The sequence below is a fragment of the Homo sapiens genome, chromosome 11 (assembly GCF_000001405.40).
Source record: "Homo sapiens chromosome 11, GRCh38.p14 Primary Assembly".
NCBI lineage: Eukaryota > Metazoa > Chordata > Mammalia > Primates > Hominidae > Homo > Homo sapiens.
In genome coordinates this window covers 10,320,303-10,336,298 of record NC_000011.10, presented here as the reverse complement: position 1 = coordinate 10,336,298, position 15,996 = coordinate 10,320,303, and the positions used below count along the sequence as shown (strand labels likewise).

General features: G+C 42.9%; 1 long non-coding RNA gene across 1 annotated transcript in view, besides 1 other annotated feature; it reads right to left on the bottom strand.

Moving 5' to 3' along the window:
* Positions 1 to 15,996, bottom strand: part of CAND1.11 (uncharacterized LOC100130460) — a 122,361-nt gene that overhangs the window by 94,375 nt on the left and 11,990 nt on the right. The window contains exon 2 of the long non-coding RNA NR_103765.1: positions 5,590 to 5,729. This is a non-coding gene — a long non-coding RNA (uncharacterized LOC100130460). The remainder of the gene's footprint in view (positions 1 to 5,589; positions 5,730 to 15,996) is intronic.
* Positions 7,283 to 7,577: a silencer, noted in NCBI's record as "tiled region #6386; K562 Repressive non-DNase unmatched - State 22:ReprW". NCBI's record gives its function as "represses a minimal TATA promoter and a strong SV40 promoter by Sharpr-MPRA in K562 cells {active_cell/tissue: K562}" and the evidence as "EXISTENCE:reporter gene assay evidence [ECO:0000049][PMID:27701403]".

Genomic DNA, 15,996 nt, shown 5'->3' with positions numbered 1-15,996 from the left:
AGCCTGGGCAACATAGCAAGATTCCCTGTCTCAAAAAAAAAAAAGAATTTTTTTTTTTAATTAGCTGGGCATGGTGGCATGCATCTGTGGTCCCAGCTACCCAGCTACTCAGGAAGCTGGGGCAGGAGGATTGCTTGAACCCAGGAGTTAGAGGTTGCTGTGAGCTACAATCATGCCACTGCACTCCAGCCTGAACAACAGGGATGAGACTCCATCTCTTAACCAAAAAAAAAGAAGAGAAAGAAACAGAAGCTCATAAGTTTGGCGTAAAGAGCAGGGAAAAGAGTGTCAGCGGATGAAGTCAGAGAGGCAGACTGGGTCCAGATCCTGGAAAGCTGTGTGAGCCACATTAAGGAGTGAGTTATTTTGTTTTGTTTCTTTAATAATGGTGAAGGTAAGACATTGCAGGGCTTCAAAATGAAAGGGTACTGACTTAATAAATTTGAACTAGTTCACCTTCCACATTGGCCCCATATCGCTTTTGTAAAACACAGATCAAATGGTCTTTAAAACCCATAGTACCCACAACCCCAATCTTGTCACGTGAAAAACATCAGAAAAATTCCAATAAAGGGGCATCCTACAAAATGCCTGGCCAGTACTTCTCAAAACTTTCAAATTTATCAAAAAAAGAAAAGAAAGTCTGAGAAACTGTCACAGCCAAGAGAAGCCAAAGGAGACGTGAAAAATGTAGTATCCAGATAGGATTCTGGAACAGAAAAAGAACATTAGGCAAAAACTAAGGAAATATGAATAAATGATGGACTTTAGTTAATAATAGCATATCAATATAAGGCCAGGCACGGTGGCTCATGCCTATAATCCCAACACTTCGGGAGGCCAAGGCAGGAGAATCACTTAAGCCCAGGAGTTGAAGACCAGCCTGGGCAACATAGCAAGACCCAGTCTCTATAAAAAATTTGAAAATTAGCTGGGTTTGGTAGTGCATACCTGTGGTCCCAGCTACTCAGGAGGCTGAGGTGGGAGTATCGCTTGGGCCAGAGAGGTCAAGGCTGCAGTGAACCATGATCACGCCACTGTGCTCCAGCCTACATGACAGAGTGAGACTCTGTCTTAAACAACAACAACAAAAAGCGTATCAATATAGATTCATTAATTGTGACAAATGGACCATGCTAATGTAAGAGATTAATAATAGGGGAAAGTAGGAGGCTGTGTGGGAACTCTCTATACTATTTGCTTAGTTTTTCTATATTTCCAAAACTACTCTAAAAATAAAGTATATTAATTAAAAAAAAAACTCTACAGTAATTCCCTAGTTCCCAAAGGACAAAGGACAAACAGCATTTGCTTAGGACATTTTCCCAAGTGAATTTCTTATTCTTCTCATGCCTCCAAATTACACCCTAGTCACACTGAACATTTTACTTTTCCTTGGACATTCTAGACCCTTTTATGCCTCTGAGCCTTTTCATATGCTGGTCCCTCTACCTAGAATGCCATACTCTGCCCTTCTCACCTTAGCTAACATTTCAATTATTCAACTCAGTGCTTCCCCACCTCTCCCAGTTGACTTCTCCTGTGTCATCCTACAGCTCTTAAACATTCACACACTCTCTGCTCACAACAAACTCTAGAAGAGCAAGCTGCCCAGGTCAACCATCTTCCCTTTATTCCCAAGGTTCAAGCATCTAGTCAAACCATCTCCATCTTTTAAATTTTCCAGGCAGAAGCCAGACGAAAGTCCAATATGGACCCTCCCACCACACGATGGCAGGAGATACATAACAAGTTCTCAGGGTGGTCCTGTTTAATCCCTTCTCTCTTGACCTGAGATGCTAGGAAAAGCACTCAGCCTTATTCCTCAGGGTTGATGCAAATACAACTCACTGCACAACTTTTCCAAATAAATCCTCTTTACAAATCCTCTCCTTTTTAATGCATCTGATACCTTTGCTATAGGAGAGAAGTTTAATGAATCATGTCAGTTTCAGGTGTCTACTCTGAATACCTACAGATTGGGCACTTGCTTTCATCTGATATCTAGCATACTGTGCTGGATATGTCTGCGTGCTTCAGTGTCCTTTCCCGCTCCTTTCTTTGTACCTTCCTGTGCTACAGAGGCTGGAAGGTTAAAAACTTCAGATCCTTTGCAGCTAGGATACTAGATTCAGTTAAGTGCCCTCACATGAGATTTGGAAGGTATAACTGGGATGGAGGCCATCGCCCTGCTACCATTTCCTCCTGGCGGTTGAGATCATGGGCACCTGAGGTGGGCAGTTGACCTCAGCTTTTCGCTGACTCAATTGTGACGAGGCAGCTATGATGGCCATGGCAGAGCCAACAGAAGAGGCATCAGCTTCACAGTCCCCAGACCACAGGCAGTGCATTCTTAAATACATTAGTTCTAGTGGCAGCCCCAACTCCAGCTACTCCAGCTCTTCCAATGATTTTGAAAGCACCTAACTTTCTATATTCAATCTTTCTCTGCTTAAAATATCTACAGTAGTTTTTATACTTGTGTTAGTTTGCTAGAGATGCCATAACAAAATTCCACAGACTGGGTGGCTAAAACACCAGAAATTTATTTTGTCACAGTTCTGGAGGCCAGAAGTCCAAGAATAAGGTGTCAGCAGATTTGGTTCTCCTGAGACCTCTCTCCTTGGCTTGCAGATGGTTGCCTTTGTGCCGTCCTCATATGGCCTTTCCCTGTGTGGGTGCATTCTTGTTATCTTTCTGTATGTCCTAATCTCCTCTTCTTATAAGGACCCTAGTCAGATTGGATTAGGGCCTATCCTAATGACCTCATTTTAACTAAATTTCTTCTTTAAAGGCCCTATCAAGATTTTTGTTTTTGTTTGTTTGTTTAGAGATAGGATCTCATTCTGTCACCTCGGCTGGAGTGCAGTGGCATGATCATAGCTCACTGCAGCCTCCAGCTCATGGGCTCAAGTGATCCTCCCACCTCAGCCTCCGTATTAGTCCATTTTCACGCTGCTATAAAGAACTGCCTGGGCCAGGTGAGGAGGCTCATGGCTGTAATATCAGCACTTTGGGAGGCCAAGGCAGGCAGATCACGAGGTCAGGAGACCGAGACCATCCTGGCTACATGCTGAAACCCCATTTCTACTAAAAATACAAAAAAATTAGCCAGATGTGGTGGCACACACCTGTAGTCCCAGCTACTTGGGAGGCTGAGGCAGGAGAATCGCTTGAACCCAGGAGATGGAGGTTGCAGTGAGCTGAGACTGCGCCACTGTACTCCAGTCTGGGTGACAGAGACTCCATCTCCAAAAAAAAAAAAAACACAACTGCTTGAGACTCGGTAATTTATAAACAAAGGGGGTTTAATTGACTCACAATTCTACATGGCTGGGGAGGCTTCAGGAAACTTACAATCCTGGTGGGAGGAGAAGCAAGCACGTCTGACATGCCAGTAGGCGAGAGACAGCATGTGTCAGCACAGGAAAAGCTACCATTTATAAAACTATCAGATCTCATGAGAATTCACTCACTACCTTGAGACCAGCATGGAGGAAACTGTCCCTGTAATCCAATCACTTCCCACCAGGTCTCTCCCTAAACACCTGAGAATTACAATTCAAGATGAAATTTGAGTGGGGACACAAAGCCTAACCATATTAGCCTCCCAAGTAGCTGGGGTTTTAGGCATATGCCACCACAACCACTAAGGGCCCTATCACATTCTGAGGTGTTAGGAGTTAAGGTTTCAACGTATGAATTTGGGGACTGATATGGTTTGGCTCTGTATCCCTACCCAAATCTCATCTCGAATTGTAACCCCTACATGTTGCGGGAGGGACCTCGTAGGAGTGAATGGATCATGGGGGCAGTTTCACCCATGCTGTTCTTATGATAGTGAATTCTCATAAGATCTGGTGGTTTGAAAGTGTTTGGCAATTTCCCCCACCCTCCATCTCCTGCCACCATGTCAGATGTGACTGCTTCCCTTTCCACCATGACTGTAAGTTTCCTGAGGCCTCCCCAGCCATGCAGAACTGTGAGTCAATTAAACCTTCTTTTCTCTATAAATCACCTAGTCTCAGGTAGTTCTTTAAAGCAGCGTGAAAACGGACTAATACAGGGAGACACAATTCAGTCCATGCCAATAGCCTTTCTTGAAGGCTGATACACATATCTCTACTTCAACATCTTTAACAAACGAATGAATGAATGAATGAATGAATGAATGAACAAATGTGGTAGAGCTTCACAGCAAAAGTCCTTTCCCTAGTCAATTTCTTCTCTTCATAGAGGTTGCTGGAATTCCCTTCCAATCTCCCTTCCCTACGTCATTTTTTTCTCCTGCAGTTCTTATGGAAGGCAAAAGAGATTAACTGTTAGGATATTAATTAACTATTGCTGCTTAGCCATATTACCACAAGCTTAACTGCTTAAAAGAGCGCAAGTTTATTATCTCAGTTTCTGTGGTTCAGGAGTACAGGTTTGACTTAGCTGGATTTTCTGCTTAGGGTCTTACAAGGTTGTAATCAAGGTGTCAGCCAAGGCTGTGATCTCATCTGAGGCTGGTCTAGGGAAAGATCTGCTCCAAACACACTCAGAATTCATTTGGCAGAATTCTGTTTCCTGTGGTTGCATTAATAAGACTCAGGGATTCAGTCTCATGGTGGCTGTCAACCAGTGGCCACCCTCAACTCTTAGAGGCTGCCCACAGTTCTTTGGCACATGGGGCTCCCAACATAGCCATCTGCTTCCTCCAAGCCAAGAGAGCAGTTCAGTAAGACAGCACTAATATTCATATCATACGCAGCATAATCAATAATCACATACAATTCACCGTCTTTACTATATTCTGCTAGGTAGAAAAGGCACAGGCCACATCCACACTCAAGGAGAGGGGATTATACCAAGGTATGAATTCCAGAGGTGAGGTTTCATGAAGGTCACCTTAAGAGTCTTTCTGCTTCTTCATGGTTTCTGTTTTTTGGCCTTTTCCTCTTTCTCCCTCTGTCAGGGTCTCTGTGGTCAGACCACATGGCCTACCTGATGGCCATGGAAGAAAGGAAGGGGCAGTGGACCCTCACCCAAAGTAAGTTCCTCTTCTATCACACACTGCCCGAGCAGGAGCTGCCTGAAGGCAGAGAGCCCATCAATTTTCCTATCCTAGGTCCAAGAGTGGCAGAAGAACTTTGGTTGTGATGAGAGTCTCAGCTGCCTGAACATCTCTTGGCTGCTGCTCCAAGCTCCAGGGAGCCCCACAGGAGAGAAAATTATAGTCCTTTGTATTTAATCAAGGCCCCAGAGCACATGGCACACTCCCCTGTAGTAGACTCTAACACAGAGAACCTTGTTCCAACACCATAAATGTGCTTATTTTGTGACCTCTATCAGATTCCAAGTCTCTGGAGGGCCAGGCCCTTGCCCAGTTTTTCTTTTTAATTCCTCAATGTTCTGACGCAAGGTCTGGCATATGGTGGGTGTTTAATATACATTAGGAAGAATGGATTAGGCTGGGCATGATGGCTCATACCTATAATCCCAGCACTTTGGGAGGCCAAGGTGGGAGGATTGCTTGAGCTCAGGAGTTTGAGATCAGCCTGGGCAACATAGTAAGACACTATTTCTACAAAAAGTACAAAAACTTACTGGCTGTAGTGGCACCCACTTGGAGTCCCAGCTACTTGGGAGGCTGAGGTGGGAGGATCACTTGAGTCCAGGAGGTCAAGGGTGCAGTGAGTCATGTTAGCACCACTGCACTCCAGCCAGGCAACAGAGCAAGACCCCGTCTAGAAAAAAAAAAAAGAAGAATAGATTAACTCCATAATTTGAAAACAAATGATTCTTATGTCAGAATCTAATGAATTTAAACAGATAATGTGTTAAACACTTAGAAGAGACTAAGGTTCATGCAATGAAATTCTACTGAAAAATAGAAAGGTAGCCAAAATAGATTAAATTAAAAAATGAAGTTGCACATGATTATGTTTTTTGTAAAAGAAAAAAATATAATTTTGGGTATTGATAATGATGATAGTTGGCATAATGTATATTGTCAATCATAGTTGACATTTTATTTTCCTGTAATGTGTGACATTTTCACTTAAAACAACGAAAAGGAATATAAAGAGCACTGAGATCCCAAGTGGTTCATCAGTGAATCATGCCTCATTTCCTTCTTTTAAATTTTATTATGCTGATGATTCACAGAATTCAGTTTAATTCCACAAACATTTATTGAGAGCCTATTACGTGCAAGATACTGGGTAAGTGCCAGGCCACCAGGGTGGAAATGCTAGAGTCAGTGTAACTTGATTTCATAAAGAAAATACATAATGCATCTCATGATCCAGTGATGGATAAGGTGGAGAGGGAAAGTGGTATAAAAGTACCATGAGGCCAGGCATGGTAGCTCACATCTGTAATCCCAGCACTTTGGGAGGTCGAGGCAGGTGGTTCACTTGAACCCAGGAGTTCAAGACCAGCCTGGACAATATGGCAAAACCCCATCTCTACTAAAAGTACAGAAATTATACAGGCATGGTGGAGTGTGCCTGTAGTCCTAGCTACTTAGGAAGCTGAGGTGGGAGGATCACCTGAGCCCTGAAGGTTGAGGCTACAGTAATCCGAGATCATGCCACGGCACTCCAACCTGGGCAACAGAGTGAGATCCTGCCTAAAAAAAAAAAAAAAAAAAAAAAAAATATATATATATATATATATATATATATATGGTTTGGCCACTGACTGAATAGCTATACACACACTCACTCTGTCACCCAGGCTGGAACAAGGGCAGTAGAGTGATCACAGCTCACTGCAGCCCCAAGCTCCTGGGCTCAGGCAATCCTTCTACCTCAGCCTCCCAAGTAGCTGGGACTACAAGCACATATCACCAGACCCAACTGATTTTATTTCTAATTTTTTGTAGAGATGGGGGTCTCACTTTTTTTCCCAGGCTGGTCTTAAACTCCTGGCTTCAAGCAATCCTCCCACCTCAGCCTTCAGAACTGCTGGGATTACAGGCATGAACCACTGCACCTGGCCCTAGTCAATATTTTTATACGTGTCTTAAATGATGAAGAAGGTAAGCACAAAGTTTAGAGTAATAGCTAATAGACAAAATAAGCAAGATGCAAAATAATCTGACCAGCATGACTTTCAAGAAGAATCATTGTAAAGTTCTGTATTTGGTTCAAAGAAAATCAACAACACAAATTCACAGGGATTCCTGACTTGGCAGCAGTTCATGTAAAAAACAACTGGGCTTTTAATTGACCATGGATTCATTATGAGGCATTATTGGAATGTGACTGATAAAAACAAGATTAGGGCAATTCTTGACCACAGCCATAAATCTAGTGTCCCGATAAGAGGGTGGCAGCTCAATCCTGTTCTGGTCAGACCACACTGGAGTTCTATTTTCATTTCTAAGCATCCATTTCACAGTTGGAACATGGCACCCTTGACCCACTTTTGTGAAGTAATGTTTTCTCACACTCCTTTTCCATCCTGTGTTCTAGCATACTCTCAAGTGCAGTATGCTAACACTAGGACAAATGAGCTCTACCCTTGTAATACAGCACAACTGCAAAGCAGTAATGTCATGTGAATCAAGTTCCTTCAGATTTCAGTCATGTCAGCTTTTTGTTAATTTTTCTTTTATTGCAGTCTCCTCTCCCTGGTGACTTAGGCTAAATCTGGGGGTAATGAAATGACCGAAATCTGACTTACAGCCACTGTGTGTACTCCAAATGATTCCTCCTTCCTATTAGTCATAACATAACCCTTTGTCCTTGAACCAGGCTGCTCTGCCTAGTTTCCTGTTCTTCATGCAAAAACTCCAAGAAACCAGCCTTGCCAACCTCCGATAGGAGTCTAAAGCTACCATTTAGTCTGAAAACTGAGATCTGTGCTACACTTGAATGCAAAGTCATCAGAATTAGCTTACACAAGTTCCCCTTTCTCCCTCTGGCATATACTTCCACTCCTTTGCCATCCCAGCTTTGACTTCCCTTTCTTCTTCAGCCCTAATGAGAACTGGGAGTGCGAAAAAATGTAAGGAAGAAAGGAGGAAAAAGAAGAAAGACAGGAGAGATTAATCTCGATCCCAAAGATAGGTAGGACCTTTTGTTATTACACCAGCAAGTCATGGTTCTCTCCTTTCTTCCCTCTTTGTCTCCCAACCCTCTTCAACATGTATACTTGCCAAGGGCTAGGGAAACCCCAGCTTACAAGATCTACTCCCTCTAAAGGGACTGATCCTAAAATTAAAGCCAGTCCAGAGGGGCCACCTTTCTAGCCCAGGCAAGATATTCAAGCCTCAAACCAGGTTAAGGTCGTGTTGGAGTCCACACATGCCCTCTTCTTCCCTATCCAACAAAGGCCTGAGAAACTATGGTCTTTTCCATTAATGCCCTTGGACTGGAAGGGCAGGGGTCATATATAAATTCTGTGCTAAATACTATGAATTTTTTTTCTTTTTTCAGCATGAGACAGATACTGTGAATGCTATATCCCATTTAATGCCCATAGTAAATCCTGTGCTATAATGTATTAATTAAGATGGCTTCCATTAAAAGGAGCAGAAAGCTCAACTCACTATGGGTTACTAAGTGAAGGAGATGATTGGTTTATACAATAGAAGTATGACAGGATTGAGGATGGGTCCATTTAGGAGTTCAACAACTTTATCAGGGAGTTCTATTTTCCATCACTCCACTCTGCCATTCACAATGAGAGCTTCCATCTAGGGCTTGCCCCTGTTTTAGTCTCAGAGTGGCTTTCTATTGCTGCTGAGACTGCATATGTCTCCCACTTTTATCTAGCAGGAGAAAGGGAACTTGTTTTTCTGGAAATAAGCCAGTAAACTTATGCAAACTCATTGGCCTGAATTGCTAGTGAGACCACATATGTGTCCCATTCTTATCTAGCAGGAAAAAGGAAATTTGTTTTTCTGGAAATAAGCCAATAAACTTATGCAAGCTCACTGGCCTGAATTAGGCCAGCACCCATCACTGGGTCCTGTAATAGTGGCCTTAAAATGGAATTGCACTAGGCCTGAGTCTTCAGGAGTGGAGTGGTCTATTGGGGGAGATGTGGATACCCTAACAAAAGTCATGGTAGTTACCAAGAGAAGAACAAGGGCTGGGGAGGCAACTCCAAGGCTCTCTTAGCTACATATTATCCTATTTTTCAGAGGAGAAACTGAAGCTTGGAGATGCTGCTGTGTGTAATGATAGAGCCAGGACTCTCACCCTTCCCTACACCAGGTTATCTTGAAGAAACAAACCAAAGAAAAGCCGGAATGGTCATCCCTTCACTTTCAGCCTAAAACATGTAGATAGGAAAGAGAAGCAGGGATTTCATGAGACTGGGAAAATCTCAGCCACTGTGCACCCAGGAGCTACTGAATCTACCTACTCCACAAAGCTGAGGCAGCTTTGAACCTTCACATCACCTGGAACCATGCCTAGCTCAGCAACTATTTGTAAACTGAAGAGCAGAGACTACAAAGGTATTACCCATAATGATGAGTTCTAGAGCACTGTTTCCCCAGCCCATTCTGGGTTAAATCAGAGGTGTGGGCTAGCCTGGGAACCTTGCCACACTGCATAACATTGCTCCTCCTGGGGAATGTCTTCCGAGTTCTAAAGGACAGATTTGCAAATAGACTTCTGGAGTACAGCCCCATCCACTGCTGGGAACTGCCTTTGTTTGACTTGTTTATTCAGGAGAGCTTCTCTGGACTTTCACCCAGCCGCTGCCTGGCAGGAGGTGACCTGGCTTTAGCCAACAGTGGGTGGGGACAGCAGGAGAGCAGCTTCTGCTCAGTGCTAACTGGACACAAAGCTATACCATAGGAAGGGGGAAGGGCAGAGTATTCAAAGGCCATAAGACAGCTAGTCTTTGACAAGGGACCTCATTTAAGGAGCATGAGTCTCCCTGTCTCACTTCTACCTGGTGGAAGAGTGAGACAAAATTAACTTACATGACTTGAAAGGCTTTTGCAATTTTTGAGGGCCACTGAGTATAAATTTTCCAATAAGCAGCTGTTGGCTTTTGTTCCTGCTGAGGTCTCTCACAAGGCAGCATCAGGTTTGAGTGTCATGGCCTGCCATGGCCCCACTGGCCTTGAGGGTTTCTGTGGCCTATTTTAAGCAATTTTACTGTTCATGGTCCTGGCAAACATATCCATTTTTCTGACAATATTTATAGTCTGATGTAAGTGTGAACTAGATAATGACCTTTTCAAGTCATGGCACAATGTTCTGTTTAAAGTTTTCATTTTTTTGCTCAGAACATCTGCAAGATCCTTTGACCCTTCTGCATGGTCTCTTGGAGATTTTCCTAACTTTCTGACCACTTGTGGGGATAGAGGGGTGAATGATGGGCAGACCCTTCACGTGTCTTGGGTCATGTGAGCATCTGAGCCTACAGAGAACACTCCTTTTGCTTCTGAAGCTCTTGCAGCCCGTTCTGAGAAATGTAATGCTGACCAGTTCATCTCAGGCATTTCTTTCTCTCCGGACATTATAGGATCACCCTCAAAACACGTGTGAGGGCACATACATCATCAGCTTCCCATAGTGAGTAGTTCCTAGGACTTGGATAACATTTCAAGCTTGACATGGCTAAAACAATACCATATCTGCAGTTAACTTTAGGTGACTCACCAGAAGAGCTATTTTAAACAAATTTGTAGCGACTAAGATTACATTTGTTCTATGAAAAACAGACTGAAAGGACAAAAGGCTAATGCAATATTTTTGAAACGCTCTTTTTAAGCTCAATGAAGTCCTGCTGTATTTTCTTGACAGCATCCTAGTTACCAGGCATAACAGGAGGGGCAATAACTGGTATCTAAACCACTCAAGAAACAAGCATGTCTTGACACCATCCAGCAGGAGTATATGTTCATCAGAAGACAGGTTTGTAGAAATAGTGATGGCCATGTTCATCTAGTCACCAGGGATTCTAATGTATTCCCTTTCAAAATAATATTGGTCAGGCTAGAGCTCTGGTAGCCTTGTGAAGGGTATGGTTTACCAGTCACCTGGCCTGCCTTAAGGTCATCTTCAGTTCTCCTGGCAATTACTATACTCTCTTCTCTATCCCAGAGTGCAGACACATTTCTGTATTTAGTTCAAAGAAAATCAACAGCACAAATTCATAGGGATTCCTGACAAAGCCAGAAGGTCAGAGCTAGAAGCAGATTGGGGCTTCTAGCTCTGACCTTTCAGCTGAGACAAGATTTCTAAGGGGAGAAGAATGAACAGATGTGAGGAATGGGGTGCTCTCATGCTACTCAAATGAAGCACAAAGGTAAACACCAACCTCATTATTCTCCTGAGAAGTTGCTTATTTTCCTGGGGTGGGGAACCTGGGGGCAGGCAGAACCTTCAAGGCCTGAGAACTATCAAGAGACTCTTTAGGAGGCGAGGAGAAGCTGAAACCACTATCCCAACCCAGTTCTCCTGAGTTTTCCTTCCTGCTTCGGGTTTCCCACTTCATTTCCCATTGCCGTGGCATCATGTCAGCCCCTACCTGTGAGGAGATACTGACATTTCTTTAGTGTTATACAAACTCCTTCCCTGAACTCTTCTTCACATAGCTGAGATAGGCTGGAACTTTTCCAAAGCCTTTACAAAATACTGAGGGAGAACAACGGGGACATAAACAAGAAAATACATGAAGCATAAACATGGTCAAGCTTGTGCAATATGTTAACAATCATAATATTTAGGGAATGAGACACAGAAGGGAGAAATGTTGTACATAATAACCTTGTTTGATAATTTTTAGGAACTGTATATACTTTATAAGTAATACACATTTATTTTGACATATACAGTATTAATTTTGGTCCTACCATAGCATTCTAGCTCCCATGGTTCACTCCACTTACAGACTTTCCACCTGATTAACTCTGAGACTCTTCCTTCTGTTCCTTTCTATCCCCGTCCCTCCCCAACAGGTCTCACGAACCTTCTGGGAAGAACAACGGGTGATAAGTTTGACCATTCAGTCAATAAATGTGCCAGCTATAATGCCAGACACAGTGATAAGCCATCAGTTACCTTCAATGCTTATCGATACCACTCAAATGCCTTTTCTCTTTGATAGGAGAAAAGACCAAGGGTCATTTCCTTAACACTTCTTTCTGTGTCCATCTAAAAAGTCACTTAGAATTATATGAAAACACACTTAATAGACTCAGTAATCTCTGCCAAGAAAAAGATCTTGGTTGAAAGAATTCTCAGCTACAACAATGACTGCAATCAAAAAGAACTCATTTACATACAAATGGATCTTCCCAAAGAAGGCAAAAAGGAAAATCCCACTTTCTGATTTGGAGCAGCAACAAGCCACTAATATAGTCAAGGCAAGGCAGCCTCTGTCCTCTGGATGCCTCCAATAAGATGACTAAGGGCTTTATCAAGCCCATCTAAGCTTATGACTATATTAATGCTCCAGTGCTCTTTATTTGAGCTCCGAGGAGCCACTGTTTTCCTCATCCCTCTCATCATCTAACCTGAGCTCAAGTATTCTCACCTGGGTGTGATTCAAATGGAGCTAGCCTTTACTTTCCTGGACACTCGTCTTCCTTAATCTGCCTCAGTTTCCTCAAGGAAGACAAAGATAAAACATCTGGAGACACCACAAATGAACCTCATCACAAATGAACCTCAAGCTGAGAAGAGCACTTCTGAGAGGCACTTCCAATACCACCCACTGACACCCAGCAGAGAATAGTCTGTGCTTGGGGAATTTACCTACTGCTACAGTTTTCAGACATCATTGGCCCATAAAGAAAAGACACTTAAACCTATAAGCCTCCTGGGTTTTGCTCTGGAGCCTCACTGGTCAGAGCCTTGCGTGAACTCCCTTGGAAAGTTGTCTGGGATCAAGGAGTCTGCCCTTGAGTCTCAGCAAGGGATGAGGGAGGCAGGACTTAATGGACTGAAAGAGAGAAGCCACCCATGTGGTCCAACAGTTCATCCTAGGAAATGACAGTCCAGTTGGTACACAACTACATAAACTTATATTCCAAAATCCCCCAAATTCACCACCAAGGCACTTGGCTAAGATAACCAATATACAATCAACCTAGAACCGTTTCAAGAATTTATTCCTAAAGAAACAGCAGGTGGCAGCAGAGTTTTACATTTTTTTTTTTTTTTTTTGCCCTTTGGACTGGAATGAAAACAAAGTGTCACGGAATAATCTCCTCATCTCTGAGTCAGCCAATTGGCCCAGAAACGGGCATATTGCCGTCTTGTAACGTGAAGAGTATAGCATCTTCTCAGAGTGGGCTCTGTGCACTTTGACAAGAGAATACAACATCACCCGCCACCCCCAGGCCAGAGACCTGCCTGGTTCTGTAGGCCAAGTAGGAAAATGACTGCCCCAGAATGACCAGATCACAGAGGCTGTGGCCCTGAGTTTCATATTCATTTTCCCAGTATCAAGGTGTTGCTCATTTACAATGTGGAGGCCCTCAAAGAAAACTGAGTATGATTAAGTGGAAGAATGCCTAGGAATTGAGTATACACCTCACAGCATTTTCACCATCTATTATGATATAATCCATGGCAGAAATGTAGGGGCAAAAAAAAGTGGAAAAGGGGAGTTAATAAAATCTGGTTTCTGGTGTACTTAGAGATTTAGAGATCTCTGAAAGCTGCATCACCACCCCACAGCTGCTGCAGCTTGGGCTCAGGAGCAGGCAGTGCCAAGACCACTGTCTGCTTTGGCCTCAAATACCTTCCTTGACTTAGTATTGTGCTTGGCTCCCAACTTCCAAGTTGTAGCTGGAAAGTTTCCATTGTCACAGTGTAGCACCAGAGTTGGAACCCAAGTTTTTGCTGAATTGTTTTGCAGAGCAAATCCAGTTTTGCCTTTAAGAAGTGACTGGTCAGCCGGGAGCAGTGGCTCACGCCTGTAATCCCAGCACTTTGGGAGGCCGAGGCAGGCAGATCACGAGGTAAGGAGATCAAGACCATCCTGGCTAACATGGTGAAACCCTGTCTCTACTAAAAATACAAAAAATTAGCTGGGCGTGGTGGCAGGCGCCTGTAGTCCCAGCTACTCAGGAGGCTGAGGCAGGAGAATGGCGTGAACCCGGGAGGCGGAGCTTGCAGTGAGCCGAGATTGCGCCACTGCACTCCAGCCTGGGTGACAGAGCGAGATTCCGTCTCAAAAAAAAAAAAGAAGTGACTGGTCAGTTTGTTCCATCCCAAAATGGTGATTCAGAACTCTCTCAGACACACCTTAGACTGAGATACTTTTTTTTTTTTCCCCTTAGATTAGAGAAGGAGGATTTCCTTATGTTGCCCAGGCTGGTCTTGAACCCTTGACCTCAAGCAAGGCTCCTGCCTCAGCCTACCAAAATGCTGGGATTACAGGCCTGAGCTGCCTCACCCAGGCTGAGATGTTTAATTTCCATCCAAGAGGAAACTTTCTTATCATTTAAAGTAGAAATGGAAGGATGGAAGAAGGTGGGGGTAGGGCTGGAGGAATTTTAATTGTTATTATTTTTTTTAAGTATGAAACTTGTTCAGGAAAAAGATAAAGTTAAGGACCTTGTCTCCAGGATCCCAAACAGATTTTGCAAACATATATTTGTGGGTTTTCTTTTTGGAAGTAGAGTTGACAGAAAAGTGAGTAGCTTTAACTCTGTAGCAACACAACTCCTGGTGACCAAAGAGAACATTCCTGAAGATCCAGTGGAGGTAGAAGACGTTCATTTATTTACATGACATGCAGCCTCAGCCCCAAACATGTTTTTTGTTTTCTTTTTCTGCAGAAAATATGATTTTGTTCTGACAACTTAAGGACACACTTCACAGCTCTCAGCCCAGAAAGGGTCATTTAAGATTATCTAATAAGGAAAACATTGTATAATTCCTTTGAATGTAATAAACAATATCTTTTGGAGCAACCTGCAGCAAATGTTCCAAATTTCACATCAACATTTAATTCCCCCTCTGTGCGTATGTTCTACACTCCCCAAAAAATGATGTTAAAACATTTAATGCAGTGAATTGACAGCACCAGGAAAATATTTGGGCTGTCTGGAGTTGCCATTATTGGCTTTAATTATGACCTACTGGCTCTTGGGTCCTAAAGCAGCCAGAAAATGAGATATGTGTGCCAAAATATTCATTAGAATTCCCTTCTCAGTCATTGTATAGAAAGAACAAGTTTCCTTCTGGCTCCCATCTTCAGTATTTTAAGTGGAATTATTAATATGCCAGATTTTTTAAAGGATCAGTCAGTAAACAAGATTATGTGCATACCTTGTATTTTGCATTTTAAAAATCTTGAAAAGGTCAAATGTCCCCTTTGCTATCATTGTATTACTGTGAAGAAAGAATTGTTTTTGCAGCTATGGAGTTAACCGGTACTATCCACCCAGGCCTCCTCATCCAAACCCTGCTCTCTGGAACTGACTTGATCCTATACGCTTTGGAACTGAAAGTACTGATGAAGCACAGCTTGGGTCTCCCAAGGAACTAGTCAGAAAGGTGGTTTAATTTCTCCCGCTTTTCAATGTTCATTTCTCCCTGAATATAAGACCTCAGAAGGCTAGAGTCATAGAGGAAGAATCTTTGAGATCCTTGATGCCATGTCCTTATTTTAGAGATGATTAATCTAAAGAGAAATGGTATATTCACTGCTTTACCTTTGTGTTCTGGCATTGAGAAAGAGCAGGTGCTTTTTTTTTCTTTATTTTTTAAACCACAGCATCCTTAGTCGTTACTCTTAAACAGAATTGCCATTTAATGAGCTTATACTATACTGCCAGGCAGGGGTTGTTGCTTTCATCCATGTTATATCATTCATCCTTACAACAAGCCTATAAGGTAAATATTATTATCCCCATTTTATAGCTAATGAAACTAAGACTTGGGTTAAGAGATGTGCCCATAATTACAGGGCTAGGAGGAGGGAGAGTCTGTGTAAACTCAAGGTTGTCTAACTTCAAAGCCTATGTCCTCGACTATACCACTTCCCTGCCCCCATCCTGCCTGCCAAATGAAACAAGGCCAG